General features: G+C 53.2%; 1 protein-coding gene and 1 long non-coding RNA gene across 4 annotated transcripts in view, besides 9 other annotated features; both read left to right on the forward strand.

Moving 5' to 3' along the window:
* UNC5B (unc-5 netrin receptor B) overlaps window positions 1-27,998 on the forward strand; it is a 90,295-nt gene that overhangs the window by 7,033 nt on the left and 55,264 nt on the right. The gene's annotated exons all lie outside the window — the stretch shown is intronic.
* The window catches only part of LOC112268061 (uncharacterized), a 39,802-nt gene continuing 11,809 nt past the window's right edge, over window positions 6-27,998 (forward strand). Inside the window, exon 1 of one of the 2 annotated variants that reach the window (XR_002957082.2) lies at window positions 6-26,952. This is a non-coding gene — a long non-coding RNA (uncharacterized LOC112268061). The remainder of the gene's footprint in view (window positions 26,953-27,998) is intronic. The other variant, XR_002957083.2, reaches the window with a different exon arrangement.
* Window positions 1,216-1,717: an enhancer, noted in NCBI's record as "H3K4me1 hESC enhancer chr10:72980575-72981076 (GRCh37/hg19 assembly coordinates)". NCBI's record gives its function as "activates a minimal SCP1, AML or CMV promoter by ChIP-STARR-seq in primed H9 embryonic stem cells {active_cell/tissue: H9 hESC(primed)}" and the evidence as "EXISTENCE:reporter gene assay evidence [ECO:0000049][PMID:30033119]".
* Window positions 12,894-13,404: an enhancer, noted in NCBI's record as "H3K4me1 hESC enhancer chr10:72992253-72992763 (GRCh37/hg19 assembly coordinates)". NCBI's record gives its function as "activates a minimal SCP1, AML or CMV promoter by ChIP-STARR-seq in naive H9 embryonic stem cells {active_cell/tissue: H9 hESC(naive)}" and the evidence as "EXISTENCE:reporter gene assay evidence [ECO:0000049][PMID:30033119]".
* Window positions 13,450-14,203: an enhancer, noted in NCBI's record as "H3K4me1 hESC enhancer chr10:72992809-72993562 (GRCh37/hg19 assembly coordinates)". NCBI's record gives its function as "activates a minimal SCP1, AML or CMV promoter by ChIP-STARR-seq in naive H9 embryonic stem cells {active_cell/tissue: H9 hESC(naive)}" and the evidence as "EXISTENCE:reporter gene assay evidence [ECO:0000049][PMID:30033119]".
* Window positions 15,712-16,463: an enhancer, noted in NCBI's record as "H3K4me1 hESC enhancer chr10:72995071-72995822 (GRCh37/hg19 assembly coordinates)". NCBI's record gives its function as "activates a minimal SCP1, AML or CMV promoter by ChIP-STARR-seq in naive H9 embryonic stem cells {active_cell/tissue: H9 hESC(naive)}" and the evidence as "EXISTENCE:reporter gene assay evidence [ECO:0000049][PMID:30033119]".
* Window positions 16,472-17,219: an enhancer, noted in NCBI's record as "H3K4me1 hESC enhancer chr10:72995831-72996578 (GRCh37/hg19 assembly coordinates)". NCBI's record gives its function as "activates a minimal SCP1, AML or CMV promoter by ChIP-STARR-seq in primed H9 embryonic stem cells {active_cell/tissue: H9 hESC(primed)}" and the evidence as "EXISTENCE:reporter gene assay evidence [ECO:0000049][PMID:30033119]".
* Window positions 17,220-17,966: an enhancer, noted in NCBI's record as "H3K4me1 hESC enhancer chr10:72996579-72997325 (GRCh37/hg19 assembly coordinates)". NCBI's record gives its function as "activates a minimal SCP1, AML or CMV promoter by ChIP-STARR-seq in naive H9 embryonic stem cells {active_cell/tissue: H9 hESC(naive)}" and the evidence as "EXISTENCE:reporter gene assay evidence [ECO:0000049][PMID:30033119]".
* Window positions 26,566-27,485: an enhancer, noted in NCBI's record as "H3K27ac-H3K4me1 hESC enhancer chr10:73005925-73006844 (GRCh37/hg19 assembly coordinates)". NCBI's record gives its function as "activates a minimal SCP1, AML or CMV promoter by ChIP-STARR-seq in naive H9 embryonic stem cells {active_cell/tissue: H9 hESC(naive)}" and the evidence as "EXISTENCE:reporter gene assay evidence [ECO:0000049][PMID:30033119]".
* Window positions 26,566-27,990: a biological region, named in NCBI's record as "CDK7 strongly-dependent group 2 enhancer GRCh37_chr10:73006150-73007349".
* Window positions 26,791-27,990: an enhancer, noted in NCBI's record as "CDK7 strongly-dependent group 2 enhancer chr10:73006150-73007349 (GRCh37/hg19 assembly coordinates)". NCBI's record gives its function as "activates an origin of replication core promoter dependent on BRD2, BRD4, P300/CBP, MED14 and CDK7 cofactors, with strong dependence on CDK7, by STARR-seq in HCT116 cells {active_cell/tissue: HCT116}" and the evidence as "EXISTENCE:reporter gene assay evidence [ECO:0000049][PMID:35650434]".

A 27,998-nucleotide genomic window follows, 5' to 3' on the forward strand; every position in this document is an offset into this window, starting at 1 on the left:
ACCCTCACAGACACACCCAGGATCAATACTTTGCATCCTTCCATCCAATCAAGTTGACACTCAGTATTAACCATCACAAGGTCAGAACTCCTAAGCAGCCCTGGCCACAGCCCTCGAGGAGGTGCTGTCTGTAAGTGTTGCTGATGTCCACTCTAGAAATGTTAAGTGGCATTCAGAGCATTGCAGATGCCATGTGAGGGTGACAGATGATATGCAGGGAAGAGCATAGCAGAGCCAAGGTTTTAAGGCATGGGGCTTCCTGGGGCAGGTGATGAGTGCCAGACCTTGACTGTCCTTTTCCAGTTCTTCTGAGAGCATGTCCTGAAGAGAGGATGGGATGGGGGCTAGCTAGCTGGGTATGTGGGCAGGGGTGCCAGCCGACCTCTCCTTACTCTTGGGAAATTTGCCCCTGTTAGCATCTGCTGTGTTCACTATCTTGAGGTGGACACCAATCCTTGGAGAACAAACCCTCTGGCCCCATTCCACCTCCCAGCATCCCAGGTTCTACTGAATGTGTGCGCTTGGGTCACGAACCCTCTCAGCTGCTTCTGACTCTGTGGGCTAGGACCATGGCAGGCCCTGGAGGCAAAAGGCCTTCTTCTTGGATCTCTCTGTATGGCTCCCAAAGGTGGAACGAGCCCAGAAAATACTTTCTAAGCACTGGTAGGGATCATATTGGGGGTGGAGACATGGGGAGGTATCTCCCTACTTTCTGCCCTGCCCCCACCAGAGAACACAAAGTGGGTAAGAAGGGGAAGGATGGAATCTGCCTAGCACTTCTGTGAGCCATTTGGCAGGGGTAGGGGTGGGGAGATCCTTTGTCATCACCACCTCTGGGAACCCCCAGCTGCTCTCTTTCCACACACACCTCTCCCCGGGGCCTTAGCTGCGGGTGCAGAAGAGTGCATGGCATTGCCAATTGGAATTCTAAGGAGGTTAACACGGCCTCCCAGCATTGTCACTGACTAACTTGGTGACGTTGGGCAGCTCACCTAACTGGACTGTACCTCCATTTTCTCATCTGTAAAATGGGGGTAATAATAACATCATCCTCAGAATTGCCTTGAGAGTCTCATGAGCTGATGTATGGTAAAGCCCTTAGCACAGTGCCCGGCACACAGTGATCACTCAGGGCCTGTTGGCATGCAGCCTGCCCCGGAGAGAGCCTAGCAATGCATCATCATCTTCCTCCACGGGAGTGAAAGCTGGGAGGTCAGGACCAGGAGTCTCAGCTGCTCCTGGCTGAGGAGTTAGTAGACTCTGGCTCTTGATTTTCATTTGCTGTGAGACCCTAGGCAAGTGCCTTTCCCTCTCTGGGTTCTGATTGTTTGGTTTCCCTTCCCATCTGTAAGTCCGGAGTGGGGCAGAGGTGGAAGGATGATCCATACAGGATGTGGGGTTTTTGTCTGGTTCTATCTGAAGAGGCTCCAGCAGTCAGAAAGAAACAGAGGTAGCCGAGGTCCAGAACCACTTGTGTTTACAGAGGCCCCTCTGGAAAGTCAGTATATTGACTGGAATGCCCTTGCACGCATTATGCAGCCCTGGGTGTCTCTCTCACCGAAGCCATAAATCACCCTCTGGGAACTCGGTCCCTTTTTCCTGCTCCATAAGCATTTCCTGCTTCAGAAACTGAGAACCCCAGATGCCAAGCAGGGCCCAGGAGGTAGAGAAGGGCCCCACTGGCAGAGGCAGCCTGGGCATGTGCGAGAAGGGGCCTGTGGTCCCCCCCCTTGTCACCCACTCCGAAGCTCAAGTGCGCCCTGCTGAGGGTGTTAGAGACAGACTTTGCAGGCCTGGCCCCCGTGTCATGCATAGCTTCATTTCTCAGAGGCAGGGGGAGGCCAATCTTGGGGGTTGGGGAATGAGGACTCCTGTCTCCATGTAGGGTATCAGAACACCAGCCCACCCTAAAACCTGATGCACATGCCCATTCATTCAGCCTGAGCAAGTGCTGAGCTCCGCAGTCAGAAGCTTAAAAACCATGGGCCTGACTCTTGAAGAACTGATGGGCTTTGTGCTGCTTCTTGAAGCATGGGCCAAGTGCCTGGCCTGTGATGCTGGGGTGCAAGGGGGATTAGGATGATGCAACAGATATGAATCATTCAAGCATGAGCCAAGATGTGTGTGTCTTGGGAGGGGTCTTGCGCGATGTTTAGAGGGCAGGCTGTGCAGTCACATTACTTGGGTTCAAATCCTGGCAGTGCCACCATCTGGCTGTGTGTCTTAGAGCAAGTTGCTTACCCTCTCTGAGCTTAGTTCTGAGCTTAGTTCCTTCATTTGTAAAATGGGAGTAGTAACAGCACCAATCTCATTAGATTTGGGGATAAATGAGATCATGCTTAAAAGTGTGTTGCATATTCTGAAGTGCTCAGTGACATTCACTACTGTCATCATCATCATCATCATCATCATCATCATATGGGCACCATGTATTGCGTGGAACGAAGGGAAATGTCTGGATGTTGAGAGGAAGAAGCTCTTGTGGTCTGGGCAGTCAGAAAAGGCTTCCTGGAAGAGGGAAGGTTTGCACTTGACTGGCCCTTGAAAGATGAGAGACTTTGGGTAAATGGAGAGTGTGGCCCTGGTAGGGGATGTGTACGTGAAGGTATGGGTGTGAATGTCTGGCACATCTACCCAGGAGACAAATTCTACATTCAGCTTCTGACTCGTGTCTGATCATCTAGCAACTCAAGACTTCTAGGGCCAGAGGTCTCTTAGTGGAAAGAGCCCCAGCCTTTAGGATTTGAATCTTCCAGAGGTGGCTCACTCTCTGTGCCTCAGCTTCCCAATTCATGAGATAGGCATGATTCCACCACCTTCACCAGGTGCTGATGTGACGTGAACACACACATATACAGTCTTGGCAGAGTGGGTGCTCTGTGGATTTCCATTGCCTTCCCTTCTCTTCCTGCCCCTCCTCCACCCCCCGATTTGGCTGACCTCTGGATAGGGCTAGGGCTGGGCCTGGGCCCTGATTCTCTCCCTGTGCATCTCTGGGCAGAACAGTGGGACAGAGAGTCCCAAAGTGGCAGTTTCCAGGTTGGCCAGAGAGCCAAGGAGAGGGGCAGGAAGAGAGAGGCTGCTTTTTCTGGTCCCTGGTGTTCACCTGGGCCTGCCCTGACCCAGGAGGCATCCCCAGGGAGTCTTCTGCTGAGATCACCCAGGAGCCTGCAACCCCCAGAGGCCCCAAGCGGCATCTGGAGGCATTACTGCCTTCAGGAGACAAAGCCCAAAGGAAAGCAGCTCTGTAATGCGATCAGAGGCGTCCGCCTGCCTGGCTGGGGACCTGGACACCCATGCAGGATGCAGAGCTTACAAGAAATTGAGTCAGGAATTCCAGGAAAGTTGTCCCTGACCCCCTCCCCCATCCCTATCCCACCTTTGGTCATTCTGTGACACAGCAGAGCAGAGTGACATTCGGAGTGAGCAGTGACCTGTGGTGGGATGGGAGTCTGTCGGATGGGGCAGCCTGCGTTCTTTCCTTTTCCTTGTCACCAAGCCAGGGCTCCAGGGTTGGGGAGACAGGTTCAGCAGGGGCAGCCAGCATGGATTGAAACGACTAGGTGATGGCAGAGCAGCCATGGCACTAGGTGACTAGGGAGGCTGGGCCTGATTTGGCTCACTCGTGTGGATTCCTGGCACCCAGAAGGTACTGAATAAATCTCTGTAGAATGGATGAATGAGAACTCATGGTCAGGCCTTACTCACCCGAGAAGTAGCTGTGATTTTGTCCCAGCTGTGCGTGGACCTGCTGCTGTGGATGAGTAACCAAAGAATTAGAAGATTTTTTCATTCCTTTGCTTCCAGCCTTCCCCTCCTGCCTGCCTGCTTCCCTCCCTTCATTATCTGCTGCTTGCTTTCTTTGAGCACTTACTGTGTACCCAACATGGTGGAAGCCAGAGCCAAATCTTCAGTGATCAGAGCCCCTAGGTAGGAAGGAATTTATTCACTAAATCCAGCGGAGCCACAGAGAATTAACCAAGTTTTGCAGTCAAGTGCCCTGGGCCCCTTTACATAGAGAAAGTAGACTGGCAGACACTTGCTGGGCTGGTAAATTTTGTACTTATCTGCAAGGTGGCCCTTGTAAGGCACAGCTGGTCCAGGCGACTTTAAAATGTTTCTTTCCTACTTGTAGCCACAAGCCCATTATCACTTCTCCCCACCTTGCCTTCTTGTGGCTCAAGAGAATGCTTACCGCATGGACAACTGGCCGTGAGGCCTGAGAGCAAGTGTGGGCTGAGCAGGTGTATCTAAAGGCCATGGCCAGATCTGACTCCAGGCCTCAGCCCTCTATAGCAACTGCTACCAGCTTCTTAGCAGGAGCTGGGCTTGGTGCAGGAGAGCAGTTCTGGCCATGGGGTCTGGCTGATATAGACTCTGGGTGGCATCATGTCCAGTACTGACATCTTTGGGAGATTAAACATCCCCAGGCAGCAACAAGCCTGGCCCAGTGACCATCCTCAGCTGGTGGCTCACTGGTCCTTGTCAGGAGTCCCTGCCAGAGGCTGATCTGGAATTCCTCCCTGGCAGCCCAGGAAAGCCGGGGCTGCTGGGCACAGTGACCCCTGCTGCAAATTTGATCCAGCCCCACATTTTCCTCCTGGTCCATCCCACTTCTGTATGTAGACACAGACACAGACACACACACACAGACACACACACACACACCAGGAAAGCCGGGGCTGCTGGGCACAGTGACCCCTGCTGCAAATTTGATCCAGCCCCACATTTTCCTCCTGGTCCATCCCACTTCTGTATGTAGACACACACACACACACACACACACACACACACACACACACACACACACACACGAAATGACAGCAGAAAAAGCCCCAAGTTGAGGATTGGGAAAACTGGATTCTTTTTTTTCTTTTTTTGGAAATAAAAAACTGGATTCTAATCCTAGCCATGTAGCTAATCTGCTTTGTGACATTGGGCCAGTCCTTTTCCCTCTCTGAGCTTCCTCTGTCCAAATGAAGAGGTTCTGCCCTGGAATCAGAAAACCTGGATTCAAGTCCTGGCCCCATCACTAACTGCAATTTCATGAGCCTCCATCTCCTCACTATAAACTGGGCCCCCAATTGGTTGTGGGGACATTAAAGGAAATGGGCATGGTCAGTGAAGGTCGGTTTTCTTTCCTTTCCACCCAGAAGGAAATCCACAAATTGCTGGATCCTGCCTTCTAGTGGGATTTTGGATTGCTGGATCCCAAATCCACAGAGCCCGCCTTCTTTCTTTCTGATATTGCCTTCTTGACATGGGCATATTAGACATAAGGTACAGTAGGGTTATCCTACAGACTTCTGAGATACCTTCCAGCCTTCAAAGCCCATCGCTGTAAAGCACCGTGGATACAGTTCAGGAAGTCCTGTGGGGTGACTTGGTAATCGTCTGAGGGTTATCAGCGAGGGGAGAGCCTGCCTTGTTATACACATTTGGGAGAGCCTGCCTTGTTAGACACATTTGGAAAGAGCACTGGACTAGGAGTCTGGAATCTCCAGCTCTAAGGCCAAATCTGTCTCTGTGTGATACGCAAATCTCACCCACCTTCTTTGAGCCTCAGTTTACCCATCAGCAAAAGGAACAAAAGAAGTTGAATGCCAGGTAGGGCCAAGTGAGAAAACACCCAGAGAGGTGCTTCAGAAACTGTTCTCCAAACCCACGGGGGTCGCTGATCTGAGGCAGCAGGAGGCCTGCAGAACAGTCCCTGGACTATGCGGTGCATCCTGGGAACTGCTGCCTGTGTGGCAGGGATGAGAGGGCCCACGTGCCCATTTCCCTGGCACCTCCCATGCCTGGCTGGCCACAGCTGTTGAGCTAAGTGACAAGAGTTTTAGCCACTTCTCATCCATCTTTGTGCCCCCATACCCTGACCCCATTGCACACCCCACATCCCAGAGCGGAGGAGGCCCGGGTGCCACGTCAGAGAAGGTTAGTGTCAGTGCTGGGTTTGATACTGTCTGAGCCAGCACACCATCTGCCATGCCCACCAGAAGTTACATAATCCCTCGGCCGGCTGCCCATTCTTAGAAAACGGGGCAGGCAGGACCAGCAGGGAGTAGAGAGTTAGAGTTTTCTTCTCTGCATTTTGTTCCCTCCCAGCCCACCACATCCCTGGACCAGTCTTCACTCTCTGAGTTGCTCCCACACTGTTCAGAGCCTGAGACGTAAGTGCCAAGGCAGAGAGAAGCTCAAGTTGGAAGGGGACATGGGTCTTGAGGACTGCTTGCCACCGTGCCACACAGACTTGAGGACACCCTGCAGACACTACCTGCTGGCAGCACACCTGGCTGGCCACACCTTGCCAGCCCCTCACACGGCTCCTCTGCTGAGCCTGTGGTGGGTTGAGGAGGACCACTCAAGCTTCTAGGACAAATAGAGTCTCCTCCTCCCCACCCCCTAGTTCCTACAGAGATATTATCTTTCCAAAATCTTATCAGATCATAAGCGTTTTTATTTATTTTTATTTATTTTATTTTTTATTTTTGAGACTGAGTCTTGCTCTATCACCCAGGCTGGAGTGCAGTGGCACCATCTCGGCTCACTGCAATCTCTGCCTCCCAGGTTCAAGTGATTCTCATGCCTCAGCCTCTCAAGTAGCTGGGATTACAGGCGCCCGCCACCACACTCGGCTAATTTTTGTATTTTTAGTAGAGATGGGGTTTCACCAAGTTGGCCAGGCTGGTCTCAAACTCCTGACCTCAAGTGATCCGCTTGCCTCGGCCTCCCAAAGTGCTGGGATTACGGGCATGAGCCACCTCGCCCAGCCCATAAGCATTTTTAATAACTGAATAACAGCCAGATAACACCACCCATGTATCATTAGGGTCTTTGGAATCACTGAGACCCAAGATCCCATCCTGTCTCCTTCATTTGCTGGCTGCATGATGTTTGCCAGGCAACTTCACTCTTGTTAGTCCCGGTTTCCTCATCAGTGAAGTGGGAATCATGAAGCCTGCTTCCCAGAGCTGCCTTAAGGATGGAATCAGATAATACTTGGAGAGGATGGAGAAAGTATTTAGTGATGGTAGCTCTGATCAGCAGCATCCAATTCCATTCTCTCTTTTTAACATCATGACCAGATCTGATTTATTGCAGGAATGCAAGAGTGGTTCCAAATGAATTCGCTAATATTAATAACATGCCATATTAATATCATGTTCCATATTAATGAATCTGAGGAAACAAAATCATATTATTATCTTCATAGATGCTGAACAAAGCTTGGATAAAATACTACACTAAAAGAAATAGGAATTAAGGGATACTTTTCAGATGAGATAGATAGATATATATACCATGGAATACTACTCAGTCATAAAAAGGAATGAAATAATGGCATTCACAGCAACCTGGATGGAGTTGGAGACCATTCTTCTTTTTTTTTTTTTTTCCTTGAAACGGAGTCTTGCTCTGTTGCCCAGGCTGGAGTTCAATGGCACAAAATTGGCTCACTACAACCTCCGCCTCCTGGGTTCAAGCAATTCTCCTGCCTCAGCCTCCCGAGTAGCTGGAATTAGAGGTGTGTGCCACCATGCCCAGCTAATTTTTGTATTTTTAGTAGAGACGGGGTTTCACCATGTTGGCCAGGCTGGTCTCGAACTCCTGACCTCAGGTGATCTGCCCGCCTCAGCCTCTCAAAGTGCTGGGATTACAGGTGTGAGCCATCGCACCCAGCCAGAGACCATTATTCTAAGTGAAGTAACTCAGGAATGGAAAACTAAAAATCATATGTTCTCACTTGTAAGTGGGAGCTAAGCTATGAGGATGCAAAAGCATAAGAATGATATAATGGACTTTAGGGAGATGGGGGAAATGTGGGAGGGGGTGAGGGATAAAAGACTACACATTGGGTACAGTGTGCATTGCTTATGTGATGGGTTCATCAAAATCTCAGAAATCACCACTAAATAACTTATTATCCATGTAACCAAATACCACCTGTTCCCAAAAACTATTGAAACAAAATAAAAATAAAAATAAATTTTGTATACATACATATATACATATATATACATATATACATATATATACACATATACATATATATACATATATATACACATATATACATATATATACACATATATATACACACATATACACACACACACACACACACACACACACACACACACACATACATACCCTAGTCCTAAAGCTGGTATCTTATTTAATGGGGAAACACTAAAGGTACTTTCAGTAAGATCAGTAATAGATACCCTGCTGGTATTCACCTCTGCTAGTATTCACCGCTAGAGGTATTAGCAAATGTGATTAAATGAGAGAAGTCAATTAGAAGCATTAGAAAGGGGTAAAGAAGAAGTAAAACTATTCCTGCCAGATAGTAAAACATACTGGAAAGCCTCTGTAATTAAAACAGTGTGCTTACTGGTGTGTGAATTGGCAAATAGACCAAAGATAATAGTAAGTTCAGAATTAGACCCAAATGTCTACGGAAATACAGTACATAACAAAGGTGGTATCACAGGTCACTGGGGTTAAGACAGACTTTTTAATAAATGGTGCTCGGACTACTGGGTAGCTATGTGGGAAAAGGTGAAATTTGATTCAAGTCTCACACCATACAGAGAGATGAACTCCAAGTGGATTTGGGATCTAGATGTAAACAATGATACAACTACTAAATGAAAACATGGGTAAATTCCTTTTTAAACTTGTGGGTGGGAAAGGCTTTCTAACTATGACTTAAGATCTAGAGGCAATAAAATAAAAAAACTGATCAGTTTTATTACATGAACATTTTTAAATTTTCGACAAAAAAAAAAATCACAGAACACCTTAAACAAAGTCAGAAGACAAAGTACTTGACAAACTGAGAGAAATATTCCTAACATATGCCACAGACGAAGGGCTGATATTTATGGTATATAAAGTGCTTTTAAATATCAAGGAACAAAGGATCAAGCCCTCACAGAAAGGTGGAAGAAAAAGACACGGACAGACAATGCACAAAATAAAATAGAACAATGACCCTCGAACAGACTTACTCAGAATTAGATAAACACATATTGTAAAACAACTACAAGATACCATTTCTCATTTACCAGACGGGAAAACATGAAACACTGTGGCCTCACATTCAGTTGTGGAGGGGGCTTGAGCACCCGAGGGGCACCCACGGGGCCTCCTCTGTGCCCACCTTGGCCATTGTGTATGCATTGTCTCACTCAGTCCTTGCGATGGCTCTGGGAGGAAGGTCTTAGCAGAAGAGCAAACTGGGGCTCAGGAAAGTGAAGTGACCCACCCTAATCTAGCTTTTAGTGTCAGGGCCTCATCTGGGTTCAGCCCTAGCCTTTGGACTCCAGATTCGGTGCTCCTTCCATGAGCCCACCCTACACCCACTCCCCAAGGCAGGGACTGGGCCTTATCCCCTGCGCACCTCCCTCAATGCCCAGGGAGTGCTGGATGCTCTGGAGTTGCCTGTGGAGTGACTGGGCGGTGAGGGAATCGAACTTGGAGCTGCTTTATAAAATGCAGACTCCTCCACCAACGTGATTGTTGTCTCGCTAAAGAGCTGTTGATTGATGGACGGAACTGGCACTTTCCCACAGGCCAGTCAGCCAGCCTCAGTCAGCCCCTTTCCCATTTTAAGGATTGGTCAGAGAGAGTGGGTGTTTGTGGGTGCATGGGGAGCAACAAGCCCCAGGGGCAGATCAGCTGGTCTGCTGGAAAAGAGGCTGAGCCAGACCTCAGCTCCTATAGAGAGCAGAGGAGACCCTGGGAGGATGGTGGGGGCATGATTGCCGGAAGGTCCTGCTCCAAGCCTGAGAATTCTGCTTTCCAGTCAGTAAGTTGTTTATTACACCCTTGACAGTGTCCTCCTCCGCCCCTGCCCCTGGATCCTGAGGAGCCTGCAGAGGGCGGGGCAGGGCCTGCTGAGGGTCTGACCTCTCAAGGGAAAGGGGTCGCTGGAAGCGTGGATCAAGCCATCCACCCTCCTTCCCATCACGGCCCACTGGACCAGAGCGCTTGCCCGAGCTCCCGGAGGCCCTGATCTCTGCTGGAAGGGCAGGCTAAACAGAAATTCCCTGGGACCTTGGGGCATCTCCCTCTCACTTCCCTGGACTTCCTTTCCAAGGCTCCTTCTAGGGAGTTGTTGTGCTTCTGGGGCAGGGCGTGTAGTTCTCAGAGCTTCTTAGGAACCGCAGTCTTGCAGACCCTATAAAGGGGTGCATGAGGGCCCCGTGTCCCTTGGCTTGAGTAAGAGCTGGTGGTGAGAATCAGCCCCATGCCATCTCTGGCTGTCCCACCGTCGCTGGTCAGGGTGATGCCTGTTGCTCCCAGGCACAGAGCGCGGCATGCAGAAACACCCTCTTATTGACTCTGAGCTTCTCAAGAGCCCCACGAAGTCATCAGGGGGAGTGTTTTCACTGCCCTTTTATGGCTGGGCAAACTGAGACAGAGCTACCTCCTGACCTACACTGTTATCATCTGACTTTTCACCCCTACCTCCTCCTCTCTGCTCTTGCCTTGGTTTGGTAGCTGAGAAAGATTAAGAAAAGAAGCATTGTAGACCATTCTAGATAGTCCTTCAAGGACACCCTGTCTTACCTCCATGTTTTCCCTAGGGGAACTCAGCTGTGATTAGGAGGAACCTGAGGGCCCTCACTCTGATTGGTCAGAGTGAGGAGGGGTGCAGGCCTGTTTGGGAGCCAGGAACTTACCTCCACTCCATGGCTCAGCGAGGGAAGCTGCTGACCCCTGAACACACAGAGAAGCCAAGGCCAAGCAGGTTGAAGACAGGCAGTCCCTAGCCTCTAGCCCTCCTGGCTATACCACAAACGTGGACATCAGACTGAGCAGAGCAGGCCAGTGGCCAAGGTCAAAATTGCTTTCAATGTCCTGTCCACCAAGTGACCTGTGGACCTAGCCTGCCTCTCTGGGGAGGGACATTCCAAAGACAACCAGCCACCTTCTCTCTGCCCTCCCCACCTCATCAGGCCTCCGGCCCTGGGTATGTGGGCCTCCCCCCACATCCCTGGAGCCTGGCACAGCCTCCCTTTGGATACTCACCATGGGTGGACAGCTGGGACCAGCCTTCCCCATAAGGGAAATTCTAGATCCCACCAAATTCCAAATTCCATGGCCTTATCTGGCACCATTCTGTCTGGCCTTTCATGGGTTTCCTTGTGTGGGAGGAAGGACCTCCCGCCCACAGAAAGATTATGGGGCAGGGAAGCAGGGAAGTGGGGGTTCCCCACCTTCCCACCACTCAAGCTCCCTGGATGTGTCACAGACTTGTACCATGGCTGGAACACACAGGTTGTTTATATGGAGAGCAGCCAGGAACAGGGATTTGGGGTGTGGCTGGGGGTAAAGACAATGGGCTTGACAGCAGCAAGCCACCTCCATGGTGAAGTCATTGTCCCATTTAACCCTGTCAGAGCAGAGATGCTACAGCAAGGCAAATCACTTCCTCTCTCTGAGCCTCAGTTTCCCTGTCTGTTAAATGAGGGGGTTGGACTAGTGAACCATAGGATTCCTTATATGAAAGCTATATAAGCTGTGCATCGTAAAGTCCCCTTAGCCCAGCAGCCTATAGAATTTCCTGAGGGGCAGAAGGTGCCATTGTGACACCCACTGGCCTCTTCCAAGCATTTCCTGCTGGGCACCCTAAAAATACAGTAGGGGTGAGGTGGGGGTTGGCGAGAGTATGGGCTCGGCCATTGCTAGAGTCGTCATTTCACACATCAGCAAACGTGCCTCTGGAGGGAGTGCTCTCGCACTGAGCTTGGCGTGGCTGGCTCCTTGTCATCCAGGTCTCGGCTCCAATGGCCCCTCCCCAGAGAGTCCTTTCCTGGCCCCCTGCCTCTTTTACTCTTCTTCCAGCACTTCTTGCCATCTGGAATGGTTGTTTGAATACAGACTTATGTGTTGACTCCCCAGCCTGGGAGCGCAGGGCTGTGTACGCTCAGCAATGTACCCTAAATGCTCAGAACGGTGCCCAGCACACGGTGGGCCCTTGTGAACAGGTGCTTAGCAAACGAAAAACCACAATCGTACGTAAAAATCTTAAGAGTTTTTTTTTTTTAATGCACATGCCTGGCCTTTACCCTAAAGGTTCTGGTTTAGGGACTGTGGGCCAGGTTTGGGCATATGAATTTTGACAAAACACCCCAGGTGATTCTGTGGCACACTTATGTTAAAAAGAGACTAGCTTGGTCATTCTCAACCTTAGCTGGACAATGGGATCACCTGGCACCTAGGTCCCACCCAGAGATCCTGACTTAATTGGTCTTGGGTTCTGGCCTGGCCGTCAGGATCTTTAAAAGTCCCCCAGGTGGTCCTCTTGTGTAGCTGAGGTAGAGGACCCTGGAACCTGAGGATCTCCAAGGCCTCTCTGATCCAAAATTCTGCATTCTTGGAAAGCCCTGCAAGGTTAAGCCACTTGTTCCACACAGCAAACTGAATTCTCAAATGGGGAAACCTCCTTGTTGAACCCTCCTGCAAAGATGAAGAAAGGGATACCCTTTTTGACCCTCATAGATGAGTTGAAAGCATTGCCAGAAGCCTTGTGGCCCATCTCCGATGACTGCCCAGGAACTCCCAGGAATGGCCTGTGGCTCTGTGCACAGCCCCCCAGCACCTCCTTTTCCTGGCAAGCCAGCTGAGCTGTGTCAAAACCTATCTCATCTCCTCCTCTGATAGCACACAGTTTTAAATAAGATCTTCATTTACCAGAAGTTCACACCACCGCGTATGTGTTATATGAGAAGTAGCAATCTTGTGTTCATGAGGGAAATGCAGTCAGGGAGGGTGGAGGAGAGCCGATTGCAGAGGGAGTGCACAAGGAGGGAGGAACTCGTGGAACCTGAGCTGGTGGCCCAGCCCCGGCCCCAGCCCCAGCCCTGGCAGTGCCATGCTCCTCTTGGCTCAGCACGGGGCTGGAGGGGGAGGGGCTCCCACTTTGCAAGCTGACCTCAGCTGCTGGAAGGCTTGGAGCAAATGGGCATGTGATGTCACCGTGAGCTCCGCCAGTTGGCAGCCCTGGCCTTGCTTTGGGTCATTTACATGTCTTCAGTTGGTTAAGAAGGAGCTCTTACTGCCGATTTATTAGTTGCCGCCTGCCTAGCCTTGGTAGCTGTGATAAGGAAGGGGTTTAGGGGCCATGGATGGATGCCAGTCCCCCATGGCCATGCTGCCTCACTTCCCAGCACAGCCTGCCATGCAGCATGTCAGTGAATAAACCAATTCCAGTAGGATGGGGCTTGACAGTTTCCAGGGTGTTCTCATGCAGTCCTCCCAACCACTCTGTGAGATGGGCATGATTACCTTGCTCGTGGAGAGGAAGAAACCAAAGCTCAGGGAGCTTGAGTGCCTTGTACACAAAGCTGCGACCTTACTCCAGGATTTCTGCCAGCTGTGTCTGCACCTGATGGGGGACTTGTGGGCAGGTCGCTGTCCCTCTGAATGTGGTCTGCAGTATTTCTACTTCCACAGCACTTGTCCATTCTGATGGCCTAAATGCCAAGAGAACAGGGATCAAGGACCAGTGTGCCCTGTGACCTTGAGCAAGGTTGTTTCTGCCTCAGACCTCAATTTTCCCAAAGGTAAAGCAAGAGTTGGACTGGGTGGTCTTCCAGGAAGGTAGGACCCCTCGGCTTTTCGTTGCAGGTTTTCAAGTGTGTCCTAGCACCGAGGAGATGAGGATCCTGAGGTGGCCCCATCCCGGGGTCCTGAGGTGGCCCCATCACGGGGTCCACAGTACAAGGTCAATGCACTTGTAATAAATATTGAGCCAACCAATGCTGAGCCGCATCCCTAGCCTCTGAATAAATAAAATGTTGCCCAGAATAACAGCCCGGAAGATGCTGGCGGCTTCAGCCAGCTCTCACCTTTGCCTCTCCCACTGGCCAAGCCTGTCACCCGTCCCTATACTCCCTTGTCTCCCCCTTCCCTCTGCCTCCCCACTCCACGGTCCATCACTCTAGCTCCAGAGGTGGCCACCGTCCCAGCCTGGCTTTAGTTTCTAGCTCTGCAGCCTGCATCTCCCTCTCCCAGCCCCTCAGCTGCCACAGCAGTTAATGAGGACCAACCCCTACAGATGGCAGCTGGGAGACAGGCCAGCCAGGTTCTGGTGGGGCTGGGGTGGGGCACAGGGAACTGGAGGTGGGGCACAGGGGAGTGTGCCTTTAATCCCCAGCACCAGACAGAAGCCTTTCCTTCTTTGTCAGGACCCTTGCTGGCATTTCCTCCTGCAGCCCATCCCTGGGAGATGAACTGGTCCAACTCCTGCAGGAGGCCAGCCCACTCTAACTGCTCTTGGCTGAGGCCGCCAGGAGATTAGAAACAGGGTCCACAAAGGAACCTGGTCCCAGGGTGCTCCAGGCCACACAGGCACACTTGATTTGATGCTTCTCTGCCTGATGAGTGTGCAAGTACAGTTATATGTGTTATATGGCTCCCTTCTTTTTACGGTTCAAGTTTCTCAGGGGCAGAGCCGGTTAGGTCAAGTGTGAAGTTACAAAATGTTAGCACTGAAGAGATATCTTCCTCATTTTATAGATGAGGAAATTAACCTCGGGGGTGGGGGGCGGAGATAAGGACACTTGCCCAGGGTCACACAGCCAGGAAGCAGCAAAAGAGCCTGGATTTGGAGCCTGATTAGGGCCTGTGCCCTTGGCCCGCACTTGACACCGCCCCCTCCAGGGGCTTTTGCTGGGGCCCTCACGGAGATGAGGCTTCATTCTTGAGATTCAGGCCTGGCCCAGAGAAGTCCAAGCCAGGGAATCGAAGCTTCTTGGTCCCAAGGTTTATGGACTGCCCTGGGGAAACAGTACCCCATCGGAAAACCTGCTCTCTGCTCTATGAAAAGGACCTTCACCATGTTGTGGGGTTTCACTGAAAAGTATTCTGGGGACCAGCATAAGAAGCAAAGCCCCTTGTATGACCTTCCTTTGGTCTGTCAAGCTGTGTGAGAACCAGCAGGGAGCCCCTGGGGTGGGAAGCTCAAAGCCCCAGGCAGAACACACCTTCCCTTTGCAAGGCACTTTCTAGATGGAATCCCTGGGGAGAAGCCTAATAGCTCAGTGCAAGAGGCGTGTGGGGTTTCATCCCCATTCTACAGGTGAGAGCACCTAGATGCAGCTAGAATACTTGGCCAGAGTCTTGTGGCTAAGACAGTTCCCCAGCCAGTTCCAGGCTGCTGGGTCTGGGGGCCCTGCTGCCTTGTTAGGAACTTGGGAGACTTGGAAACCTGGGCCTCTCTTCCTCTGCTCTATTTGCAGAGGTCCCAGGGTCATTCTGAACACATCAGGGAGACTCATCCTAAAAGCTGGGTTGAGGGGACAGGATTTGGCATCCAGATCCCCTCCCCAGCAGGCCAGATAGATTCCCACTGGTCTCCTGGCCCAGAAGGAGAGGCCAGCCCTTCCCACCCCCAGCGCCCAGGGGGGCCCCTCCTCCCCCGGCCTGGCTGCAATGCCGGGCCCCTATTGCAGGACTCGCTGCCGCTGCCTCTGACTCTGCCTCTGCCTCTGCCTCTGCCTCTGACAGACATCCCGCCCCAGAAGATAAGGATCCTGTCTGGCGCCGGAGTGCTTTTTTTCCTCCTTCTTTCCAAATCTGTTCCCTGATTATCTGCAGACAGCCCCTCGCTAGGGGAGCCACCAGGGAAGGGGCCCAGACCACAGAGAAAGACAGGAGGGGTGGGACTAACAGGCCTGCAGCCACCAGCCCTTCTGAACCCCTCTGGGGGCTTGATGGTCATTTGCTGAGCCCCCACTGTAGCCAGAGCCCTGAACTCAGCAGAGAGCTGAGGACTGGTTTCCCTGGGTGGGACTGACCCACTTCAGCGGGAAGAAGAGGGTATGTGGACTGGAGGTTGTGCCAGCGTGGGCTGGGATGGGGACAGAGGGTGGGGTTCCTTCCGTGGTCAGCGTTCCTCAGCCTTGGGCCTGGAGAGCACCCAGAGGGGATGTGGTAGAGGCTTCAGCCAGCCAGACGGCCACATCCTGTGGGAGACATTGGCCCTTCCCAGGCCAGACGGTGGGAGGACACTTAGGGACTGGTAGGGGGGTCCTAGGGGGTTCCCGGAGCCCAGCCTCCAGCCCTGAGGACTGAGCTTAGAGAATGGCCAGGGCTGGTGTGGCCTCTTGGCCTCAACCTGAAAAGGAAGGGCAGCTCCCCACCAACTGGGCTTCAGACCAGGCACCATTGTGGAATTCCAGCCTTAGAGTGCCCAAGCCGCTGAGAGCCCTAGAGAGCACCTGGTCGCATCTGGGCCATCTATAGACAGAGGGACCCATGTGGAAGGCAAAGGGATCATCCCCACCTCGCCCACTGGCATGTCAGGAGCCTGCAGCATGGGTCCTACTGCCCTGGGAGCTGGGAGCCCTAGTTCAGGTCCACACTCTGCCACTAATACGCTGTGTGACGTTAGGCAAGTTCCTTTCCATCTCTGGGTCTCACTCGTCAACTGTAAACTGAAGGGGCCTTCTGGTCGGGGCAGGAGGGAACAGTGGAGATCTGAGTCCAAAGACCTTTCCAAACTTTGTCAAACTCCTCAGGGTTGTTGTAAGATTCAATGAGATATTGAAGGTGACACCTTGGCTTACAGTAGGTGCCCCATAAGTATGAGTATGTCCAGCCCTTGACAGCTCAGACTAGGGACCTCAGGACTGGGCAAAGCCTGGGCAGTTGAGTTCCCCTCTGTGAGAATGTGCTTGTGTAGCCTTAGAGAAAGACCCTACACCTTCCCTGCCCCCAGCATCCCTTGCCATGCCCGCCCTGCCTCACCTAAAACATGTGGGGGAAGGGAAGCAATGCAAGATCATTTTTTATGGCTTCCTGGCCCTGGAGCCAGAGGGCTGAGGATCGGGTGGTGTGGGCCGGATTCCTGAGCCCCCCTTCAGAGCCAGCTCGTAAATATGAAGCCGGGGCAGGGAGGAGCTGGCTGTTAAGCTGTCAGCAGAGGCCCATTTAGAAAGTCGTAAAGCGTTTCTCAGAGCTCCTCAGAGCTGGGACCCAGGGCCCTCCCGCCCCACACTGACCGGCAGTGGCCTCCTCATTCATGGGTGCTGGGCTTCCCTGCCCGAGCCCCCACTGGAGACTCCCTGGCTCTTGCCATTAGCTGTGCCTTGGTTTCCTCTCTGTGCAAAGGAAGTCTGCTCTGCTTCTCCTCTGGGAGAATGGATGGGGAGGTCCAGTGAAGCCCTCAAGAGGCCAGAGGGACCCTGGTCCTGAGAGCAGTGAACCCCCATATTTATCATTCCCTTCTCTGTGCCTCGCTCCAAGGGGACCCAGAACCTACCCCCAAGGAGCTCACAAAATTCCACTTAGGAATGAGAGAAGATGCATGCCCCTGAAGAGAACGCCCACATTTTCTCCAGCTCAGAGGAGTGAGCTCCACGGCTGGGATGTGGAAGGCTTCCTGGAGGAGGTGGAGGTGTAGATGGGGGCTCCAGGGTATTCAGAGGTTTGGAGAAGAGGCAGGAAGCACAGGTGGTGGGCAAACAGGCCTGCCTGGGCGGAGGGTAGCTAGGATCCCAGGCTGGGTGTGGAATAGCAAAGGCCACAGAGCCTGTGAGCAGAGGCCCACTCTGGGGACCAAGTGCACGTTCCCTAATGACCCCTGTTTGCCTGGTCACCAAGACTCGTGTTTATGTGGAAAAGCTCTGGCAACAGCATGGGTTCAAATACTACCCTCCCTGCTTCCAAACCACGTGTTCCTGGACAGTTTAGCCCATGTGAGCCTCGTCTTCAACCACAAAGTGGAATTAATAGCAATCTACCCCATAACGTCTCCATGAGGTTTAAATGAGATTTTAGAGAGAGAGCCGTCTCACTCAGTGCTTGGGCATTTTTGGAGTTGGTTAGCCTGGGTCTGAAACTCGGCTCTGCCTCTTACTGACCATGTGCCCTTGGGGTCACCTCTTAAGACCTCAGTTCTCTCATCTGTAAAGTGGGGGTAAGAGCAGTGAGACGTCAATAAGTAAATACACGGGAAGTCCTCAGCACAAAGCTGGCAATCCTGAGTGCATTAACTATTATTATGCAAGGTGTTCCTGCAGCACCTAGTGTGAAGGAGGTGCGGTGAAGTCCGTATTGGAAGCCTCCTGCCTCCATCTCCAGCCTGTGGCCTCTATAGGATCGGGAAGGAGGTAGTTTTACTGGGAGCAGAAGTGGTCTTTACTAGGACTTTGTAAGTCCTTTATTCTGTCTCAAGAAATATTTGATGCTCACCTTAAGGCAAGTGGAAATGGTAAAACCTCAGCCAGTCCATTTCCCTCATTGGTGATGAGCCAGGTGAGCCTGGGGGAAGAGGTGTGGTACCTGGAGCTGGGGAAGATGAGGAAGGTGGGGAGAGGCTCCTGTCAGGCAGGTAATTGGGGATCAAGGGGCTTCCTGTGTCTTCCCACAGAAGGGGACGGGAGACAAGGCAGCTTCCACTGAGTCGCCTCATTAACTTCGCCACAAATAGCCCAACAGCCTGTAACTCCCTCAGGCAGAAATCTGGAGCTGTTCAGAAGCTAAATAAATAGGAGTGTGATCATTAAAAACTAGAGGTGCTGGGAGCCCCCCTGCCCTGGGTGGAAAGCCCGTTTCCTGTTGGAAACACCAGTCTCCCTACCATTTGGAGCCACAGGAAGGGGTTGCTCGAAGACCTCAGGGGTAAACTGTTCTGGAGGGTGCAAAGGGTCCTGAAAGTCAGGCAAAATCCCCACAACGCCCACCCTGCCCAGGGCCCACTTCTCCAGAGTGGCTCTTTTCTTCCCAAAGTTTCCAGTGACCCCAAGTTTTGTTGCTCACACTCACTCCTGTTCTCAATCCTGTCACTCAGAATGTCTTGTGGTTTCTGATTAGCGATAGGCCCTGCTGGACGTCTGAGGCCTCGACTCCATGCTTACATTTGCATTTATTTTTTTTTAGTCTCACTCTGTCACCCAGGCTGGAGCTCAGAGTCGTGATCTCAGCTCATTGCCACCTCCACCTCCTGGGTTCAGCTTCCCAAGTAGTTGGGATTACAGGCATGAGCCACCAGGCCCGGCTACTTTTTGTATTTTTAGTAGAGATGGGGTTTCACCATCTTGGCCAGGCTGGTCTTGAACTCCTGACCTCAGGTGATCTGTCTGCCTCAGGCCTCCCAAAGTGCTGGGATTACACACCTGGGCAGCATTTTCACTCTCTTATACATATCCTCAGAAGCTTAATTATTATTACTATTTTAAAGACAGGGTCTTGTTCTGTTATCCAGGCTTGAGTGCAATGGCGCAATCATAGCTCACTGCAGCCTCGACCTCCTGGGCTCAAATGATCTCCCGCCCCAGCCTCCCTAGTAGCTAGGACTACAGGTGTGCACCATCATGCCTGGCTAATCCCTAGAGGCTTTAGACGAGGGAGTTAAGGCTTCTGCCTGCTCAGACTTAGAAATGGAGGCCTGGTAACACCCTGTTCATTTCCCTGCCCTTGAGCTGTCCTGGGATGGTGGAAGAGAGGGTGGGTTCAGATTTGAGTGGCGTGTCTCCCAGCCACCCTAAGCCAACCTCTGCCCCCACAGTGCCAGTGACCCAGGGAAGACTGACTTATCATCTCCCTCAATGTGCCAGAAAACCTCTCAGCTAGTAGATACCTTAGTGTCCAGGGCTTACTTGCGTTGGGATGGCATTGGGGGTAGTGGGGCAGGTTTTAGCAGCGGCCTTGGGAAGGGGAAACATTTTCTATAAAGGAACATTAACAGAGGTGACGCCCCACCCCCAGGAGAACCTCGTTATGAAGAGGGGGTGCCTGAGGTGGCAGGAGGCCCCAGGCACAGGGAGGGAATGGGCCTGAGGGTGGCCATCGAGTTCGGGTGGGTGGGATGAGGGTCGCCCGTCCTGACTGAGCAGTTAGGGGCTCCTCATGCATGTCACTGGCTGATCACTTAACCTCTTGGGCCCTGTTTCCCCATCACTAATAGTTCCAGCCTCATGGGAGGCTGTGCATGTTAGTCAAAAGGTCCATGCCAGGCCCTGCCCAGCGCTGAGGTTAGCTTCTGGTGCTTAGCTGCAGTGGCCCAGTCTGGAGAGCCCACTCCACCCCCAGTCCTCTGTTCAGCAGTGCAAGAGCAGGGCATCCACGGGGGCGGGCAGTGGGCACACACCCCTGCTGGATGGGTGGGAGCCCCAGAGATTATAAGCAGAGCATATGGTGGCTGGTGCCAGAGGGCCCCTGGGTGACCCTGAAGCCCAGATTCCTCCGGTCATCTTCACAGGGTTCCCTCCTGTGATCTGCATGTGAGCACACACACATCTGGATTTGGCAGACCCTGTATATATACTAAACCCCTGGGCCTGCCCTCGGGAGGCTGCCCATTCTGTGAGGGGACTGGCCTTGGGCTCATGGAGAAATAAACAGGTGCCCAGTGTGGGGTGCCTGGAGGCAGGAAAGGCTGGGCTGGGGCTCCAGGCGGGTGAGGGAAGGTGGCATGTTAGCTGCTGTTCCTGCTGAGCCTTCCTTCCCTCCCCACCTACCCCACCCACCCTCACGGTCTCTCCATTCTCCACCTCAGAAGCCCTGCTGCAGGAGGGAGTCCCGGAGATTATGAGCCGCGCTTCTCGTGTGCCAACCTGTGCCCCCTCCCCCCATGGGCATGCTCACTCTTCTGCCATGCGGCCTGCTGCATTTTTTTGGATGACTTGGGCAGCTGTTGGTGTCCGGCCCAAATCTGCATCCTCTGGCTTCTGCCCACTGGCCCAGGCCAGCCACTCACCACCAAGGATACTTCAATTCCTCTTCTCATGTAACCTCTTGAGCGTGATACCCCTTCTCCCAGTAGGGGGGACCCCAGTAACCCCAGGAAGGAAGGCAGGCTCTCAGGGTGGACTAGCCATAGTGGTGATGCCCGTGGCCTGCCTCTGATAGGCACAGGCCGTGGGCACAGGGCCAGCAGGGTGGACACGGGTGATGAGGCCTGGAAGGTCCAAACCCCATCCCTCGCCCTGTCTTCAGACTCCAGCCTCCCAAGGGGCCCTCACGATCGCTTCCTGTTAGGGTCACGGCTGAGCAGAGGCTACCAGCAATGATTTCCTCCCGGCCCAGCAGCTGCCCGCCGCCTGCTCCTCCTCCCCCACTGTCGCTCCACTACTCGGTCTCATTTCTAAAAGACCTGAGGGGAGGATGGGGGCAGGAACAGCAGAGGCGTAGCTGATATTTCTGGCTGTCCATCTGTCTAGCTTGAGAATGCCTGTGGCTGAGAAACCAAAAGGTTCCTTTGACGGCCCTTAGAAGAAGATGGGGCAGGCCCCTTGGTACCAGTCCCCAAGGGCCAAGAAGAAGACTTTAATAGGAATCCCTGCCTGAAGGGCAAGTTCAGGATGGCCTGCTGAGCTTCTTGTAATTAGCAGCCTGCGAATCCAAGATTCTATAATTTTGTTGTTGTTGTTGTTTTTGGACTTGATGTGTCTGAGAGTCCATCATCATGGTAGCCTACATGTATGCCAGGAACTGGTCAGATCACTCTACTTGTATTGACCCTATTCATCTTCAAAGCCTCCTTAGGCAAGAACTAGGCCCCCATTTTACAGAGGAGAAAACTGAGGCTTAGAGAAGTCAAGCAACCAGCTGGGTTTCATGTCCTAGCTCCAGACCTCCCAGGGCTCCTGTCTTGAGACTCAGTTAGCTGTGATTCACTTTAGCTAGAGGAGAGGTTGCCTAAGCAGGCCTGAGAAGCTTGGTGGGTTGCCAGTGCCGAAGGCCCCCCCAGAGAGTCTGTAACTGAGTAGCTTCAGCAAGAGCCCCGCAGAAACATCCTACAGGCACCTGGCTTGTAAAGACACATGAAGACCTCCTCAAATGCCCCATATCCCCACTGCCGCGTAGCCCTCTCCAGTCAGAGAACTAGCTCGTGTCCTGGGTTAGTGCTGTCTCCAGGGCTCTAGTCTGCTCCAGGAGTGAGCCAGAGGCCCTGGTGAACACATGTATTATCTGAGCAGGGGGAGGCTGCAGAGAGAGGGGAAATGTGCTTATCGGGCACATCTAGCTCTGTCCCTGGGAGGCTGAGCTGTACTTGAACAATAACAGTAGTAACTGGCACCACGACAGAAGGCCCGTCTTCTCCTTGGCCTGGCATCTCCCCAGGAGATCTCTATCTTTAAATCACAGGCTGTCGGAACTGGAAAGAGCCTCCCATTACCATTGCCCAAGTGGAGGCCCAGTGCTTCTAAGTGCCGCCCAAGGACGCAGGATCATCATGGTGCACCTGGGCCATTAGAGTGGGTGAAGGCCAGGCTAACAGTAATAATAAACTTCTAACAATAGAGATAATAGCAGCCTGTTAGTTATCTTGTGTATCACCTCCTATGTGATTACAGCCTGGAGGGAATGTGGGGCTGGCCTAGAGTCACCACAGAAGGAGGTGAGACTTGCCTAGCAGTCCCTGGCTGCCAGTGAGATGCCCACACACGACCTGGTGCTCAGAGAGGCTGCACAGAGGCCCAGCTTGCTGGTCGGCTTTGTGGAGGCCTGAGGCCCTTCTTCCTAGGCCAACCCCAGCCCCCTGGAGTGCAGTGGGGAGAGGACATGGGGGGGCGTGGCATTCCCTCACAGTCTGTCTCAGGCCCTCCCTGTGACTCCCTTCCTGCGTGGCGTCCGTCGGCCGTGGCCCAGACCCTGTGTCTGTTACTATGACATGTGACCTCGCCCCACCTCCCCCTGGGTGAGATGATCTCCTTTGTAGGGATGAGGAAGCTGAGGCCCACAGTGCCCAAAACGACATGGCCAGAAAGTGGTAGTGCTCATTGTGAGGTACTTTGAGGTCCCCCGAGCTAGTTCAGCAGAGAGGAAAGACTGCTGAGGGAGAGGAGAGCCTGGCGTGGGCTTCTTTCCAGCAGCTGAGTGGGCAGCTTCCTCTTCATCTGGGCCCTGCACCAATACAGTCAGGTCTGCCCCCCTCTCCCTGGGCAGGGCCTGTCCACCCTCTAGAGACATCAACACAGCCTGTGGTCACCAAGATTCCAGGGGGATCCACTTTGTAGCTGGAATGTGGTCACCCTGCAGTTCAGGCCCTTGTATAGCCATTGTCCGTGTGAGACCCTGGCTGTCCCTGCAGAGGGTTGGCGGTCTGCCATGGCAGGCCAGGAGTGCCCAGTGCCCTCTCCTGCCACATCCGTTCCTGTAGATGATTGGGTCTGGGCTCTTGGTCGGCGGCCCCCAGAATCTCACACACACGTGTTGGAGGTGTCTTTATGATGCCTGGGTGAGGGAGACGGGGCCACGGTGTCACTCTCTCTGTCCTGGGCTTGGCCCTGCCAGCAGCAGGGCACTGGGTGTGTCCCAGCCTTCCAGCAGGTGGGGCCATGGAACACCCAATGAGGACCTCAGCCCACCCATTCAAGAGTCTGGGGAGCCGGGCGCGGTGGCTCAGGCCTGTAATCCCAGCACTTTGGGAGGCTGAAGCGGGCGGATCACCTGAGGTCAGGAGTTCAAGGCCAGCCTGGCCAACAGGCTGTATTTTGTATTTTCTATTAAAAATACAAAAATTAGCCGGGCATGGTGGCACGCGCCTATAATCCCAGCTACTTGGGAGGCTGAGGCAGGAGAATTGCTTGAACCCAGGAGGCGGAGGTTGCAGTGAACTCAGATCTCATCACGGCACTCCAGCCTGGGCGACAGAGGGAGACTCAGTCTCAAAAGAAAAATAAAAGAAAAAGAGTCTGGGGGCTGCTTTAGGGCCAAGCAGAAAGAGCCTGGGCTTCAGATCAGTTTCCCCATCTGTGCAGTGGGGGCTGTCACACCTTCCCTGCAGCAGCACTGTGCAGTGAAACTTCTTGCAGGGATGGGGACGTCTTCTGCCTGCACTGCCCAGTCTGGTAGCCACTAGCCACACGTGGCTATTGAGCACTGGAAATATGGCCAGGGTGATGAAGGAACTGAACTTTTAATTTTAATTAAAGTTTAAACAGCCACATATGGCTAGTGGCCACTGTGTTGGATGGCACAGCTCTGAAGGCTTCTGGGAAGATGCCATCCATCAAGTGCCCAACACCAAGGTTCTCAGCCAGGGTTAGTTCCCTTCCCTGTTCCCCGGGGGGCTTGGGAAGCCTTCGCCACCCCCTCCTCAGAGGCCACCCCACCTGGATGGCCAAGGTTGGAGAGACTAGACAGTCCAGGGTGGGCTGGAAGGAACATGGAGGAAAATCAGAACCACAGCTACAGGGATCACCTAAGGTCACTGGGTGAATACTACTTTTAAAATCTCTTCTGTGCCTCGTGATAATAACATTGGTTGAGTTCTAACCAAATACCAGGCACTGCGTGAAGGACCTTATGTATCAGGCTGCTTAACCCTTGGAGCTAACCATTGTTCTCCATAGTTTATAATTGAGTACACCGAGGCCCAGAGAGATGAAGCAACTTGCCCGAGGTCACACAGCTGGTGTGTGGTAGTGCCAGGATCTGCACCTGGGTGTGTCTGTCTGCAGAGACTGTGCCCTTTGTACAAGCCCAGGTCTCTCCATTTATTTAGCCATCACCTATTCTGCTGTATCTAGTACTGGGCCAGGCATCTTTAGGGACAGAGAATTGTGCAACACAAGGTTCCTGCCCTCTTAGTCTCCTTGGAGGAACTCCCTGCACAACACGCCCACAACAGAAATGATGCAGGGTGCCCCCAGGCATAATCAGCATGAGACTCTGAGCCCTGGCCTTCACAGGGTGGTGGCAGGTTCATCCCTACAGCCTGGGCCAATGCCTGCTGGGTAAGGGTGGCCCCCCACCCCAGGGCCACTCAGGCATTATGACGACACCCTAAACTTGGGTGTTAAGGTTTGGTTATAATCTCCTAAGATGACACCTAGCCCCTGGGACGTTGCCTGGCACTGCAGAAGGTTTACAGTAAATATCAGTTGGGTGAATGGCCTCTAGTGTTCCAGTGAGCCAGGCAGAAGAGTCATATCCTTCTTACAGAGGGCACAGATCTGGAGGAACCTGGAGACTTGCCCTAAGTTTGCCCCTACTCAGGCCCCTGCTTCTTTCTGAGGCTAGCCGGGGAGCAGGTGGAAGGAAAACACTCAGCTTGCATACGTAGAGAGGCAAGTCATAAATATCACAACCTCCAAGAGGAGAGGAGGGAGGAGGGAAGGCGGATCCTGAGAGCTAGGATGTCCGCTTCCGAGAACCCGCGATCTGCAGCCGCTGCCAGCAAGGTCCTGCAGGTCCTAGGGACACCCTGTGTGCATGCATGCATGCCTGTGTGCGCCGAACTGGTTGGCGGCGGGGGCGTGCTGGCGTGCTTGTGTGACTGTGGGCGACCATGGCACGCAGACCGCCTCCAGCTCCCGCTGGCCCTCCCCAACCCACTTCTCAGTTCTCCAGCAGCCAGATGTCTCCCAGATGTTCCTCACTTCCTGCCTGGCTCCGTGCAGTGCATGTGTGTGTTTATTTTGGACAGGCCACTAAATAATAACCATTTTAAGAAAAGCTTTTCAAAACCTCGTTCCCACGAGGAATCAGAGTTCAGGAAATAATCCCAATTCTATTCACTATTGTCCCCGGGCTCCCTTCTCTGACCTCCTCTCCCCCAACCCTGGGGACCACTTTTGAAAAGATTTCTTTTTATCCTACATGACGTGTGCTCTCTCCATAACACCATCTCTCTGGGAGCTAGGGCTTAGAGCTGGGAGCCCCTTAGAGCTTTGCTACCAGCATCACCTGGAAGCTTGTTAGGAATTCGAGGCCTCAGCACTGTCCCAGACCACAATCAGTCTGCGTTTTGACAAGATCCCAAGGTATTCGCACCTACATTCGCGTTTACCGTGAGCCTAGCTCTGTCTTATTGATGGGGTAATGGAGGCTGAGTCTGGCAGGGGGGACCCTTCTATCAGGTCTTCTTTAGCAGAATCCCAGTAGGGCCTGGTGGTACAGACTGAGAGGCCCTGAGCCCTCAGAGCTTGGGGTCTGAACTGTCCTTCTGGGTGGGCTGGCGGGGAGAGGCAGCCCAGCTAGTCTCTGATGTGGGGAGGCAAAGGGGTGGATTCATCCAGAGAATATGCCACCTCATCCCTGGTAGCCAGCATGGCCACAGACTAGGTCCCATGCCAGCCTCGCCGTGCCACATGGCCACTAGGTTTGGGCCAGTCCTAGATCTGCTCTGTGGGCTCCTGTGAGTCCCTGCTCCACCCACAGCTGCCCTCTGGAGATGGGTCTGGCCCTCCCTGTCTATTCTGTAGGCACTCTGGGTGCTCAGGTGGGGTGCCACAAGCTGGTGTCCTCCCGTTCCATTGTGACCCGGCTTGTCATCCTGCCTCCTGTGAAAATAGAGCAAATCGTATCAGCTCTGTTGGTCTCAGGGCAGTCCCAAGGACACGGGGCTGTGACTTACTGGTGATACACCGCCAGCACCCTCCTCATTTCTGGGCGTCATGGCTCCCTCCTCTCTGTATCTGAGCGAGGGTGTGCGGAAGGCCTGGCACACCTGGCTGGAGGTGGAGGTGGGGGCGGCCCCGAGAGAACTGAAGCTCAGGCTGTCCTCAGGCAGCTGGTGGCTTAGCTGGGAAACAAGACTCCCGCCTGTGGAAGCCTAAGGAGAAACCAGCCCCCAGTTCAGAAGCCCAGCAGTTGGTGAAGGCTGCCCTCGGTAAGGGAGACCTGGTAGGAGTTCATTCGTCAACAAGACTGGCGTGGCTTGGGGGGCTGCATACTGTACGCTGGGAGAGGTATGACGCTGAGGAGGCATGGAGGTCCCAGAAAGGCGGAGGACCCCAAGGGGAGAGGATCCGAGAGGTTCCTTCCAGAAGGATGGCTTTGTGGCTCTCCACACCCAGGGGCAGGTGAGATCACAGTGGGGTGGGGGGCCAGGATGGTAGGGGAGCCCACCTGAGGGAGGTGGGGCTGAATCAGGGAAGCACCCTGTGGGCTCTCTGAGCTCCCTCTCTGCACAGGGACCAAGCTGTGGGTCAGAGTCCTACATATTCAATATCTATTCACCAACAATCAGTGGGTACAGGATTGGTGAGTGACTGGGTTGAGGGAAGGAAGAAGGGAGGGAAGTGAGGGAGGGAGGGACAAACTGACAGTTGGATGGGTGGCTGGATAAGTAGATGGAAGGAAAGGAGGAAGGATGAACAATGAATATAATCACCCCAGCGCTCCACATCTGTCAAAACCCTTTCAGAGCCAGCCACATTCTTTTGATCCCACACCCATCCTTTGAAGGAGATAAAGCTGAGACTATATTCGTAGTGTCAATAAGACTAAGACCCAGGCCAGAGAGGGGAGCAGAGGGCGGCTGACCAGCCGGCAGGCTCCCTCTGGGGCGACCACTTCTTTAAACACTCCGGGTTCACGGTGCTCCCTGAAGCAGGGAGGGCTTGGCACTGAGTCATTCACACTCCCTTGCCCACTCCCTGTGTGACCAGAGCCCCACCCTGAAGCCGTCCAGGACCTGTCTGATCACGCCCCTGCTACCTGGAGAATGTCAGCGCCAGGAGCTTTCAGCCTCCAGCCTTTGCCCAGATTCCAGTGCAAACCAAATGAGGAAGTGCATGACCCAGGTTGTTCACTGGGGCCGTGTGCAGGCCCAGCAGCATTGTCCAGGAAGCTCACTACTGAGCAATAATAGACCACCAGCTTATTCACAGAGGTTCCTTGAGACAATAGGATAGTAAAGGCCTATCCCTGCCCTGAAGGTGCCTATGGAGTCAGAACAGAGAGGTCACTCAGAGGTGACAGCATCTTGGGCTGCAGAGTGAACATCCAGAACATCAGGGAAGGCTCCCTGGAGCAGGTGCCATTGGCACTGGGTGTACAGAGAGGGCCATGGCTGTAGGGAAGGCACTGTTCCATCTACCCAGCCTTGCAGCAGTCCCCTCCACCCCTGCCCCTACCTGGCTAACATGCGGAGAGGAGAGGTGATTCAGCAGGCCTGGCTTGTTTCTTTCTTGCCCACTGAGGCCTCGCTGTTGGACAGGCTCCCAGACGTTGCAGTCAGCTGGAGGCCTCACCTTCTGAGCTCCCAGACCTGACCCTCTGCACTTTAACCTGGCACCCTGGCCCCA

The sequence above is a fragment of the Homo sapiens genome, chromosome 10, assembly GCF_000001405.40.
Source record: "Homo sapiens chromosome 10, GRCh38.p14 Primary Assembly".
In the NCBI taxonomy this organism is placed as follows: Eukaryota; Metazoa; Chordata; class Mammalia; order Primates; family Hominidae; genus Homo; species Homo sapiens.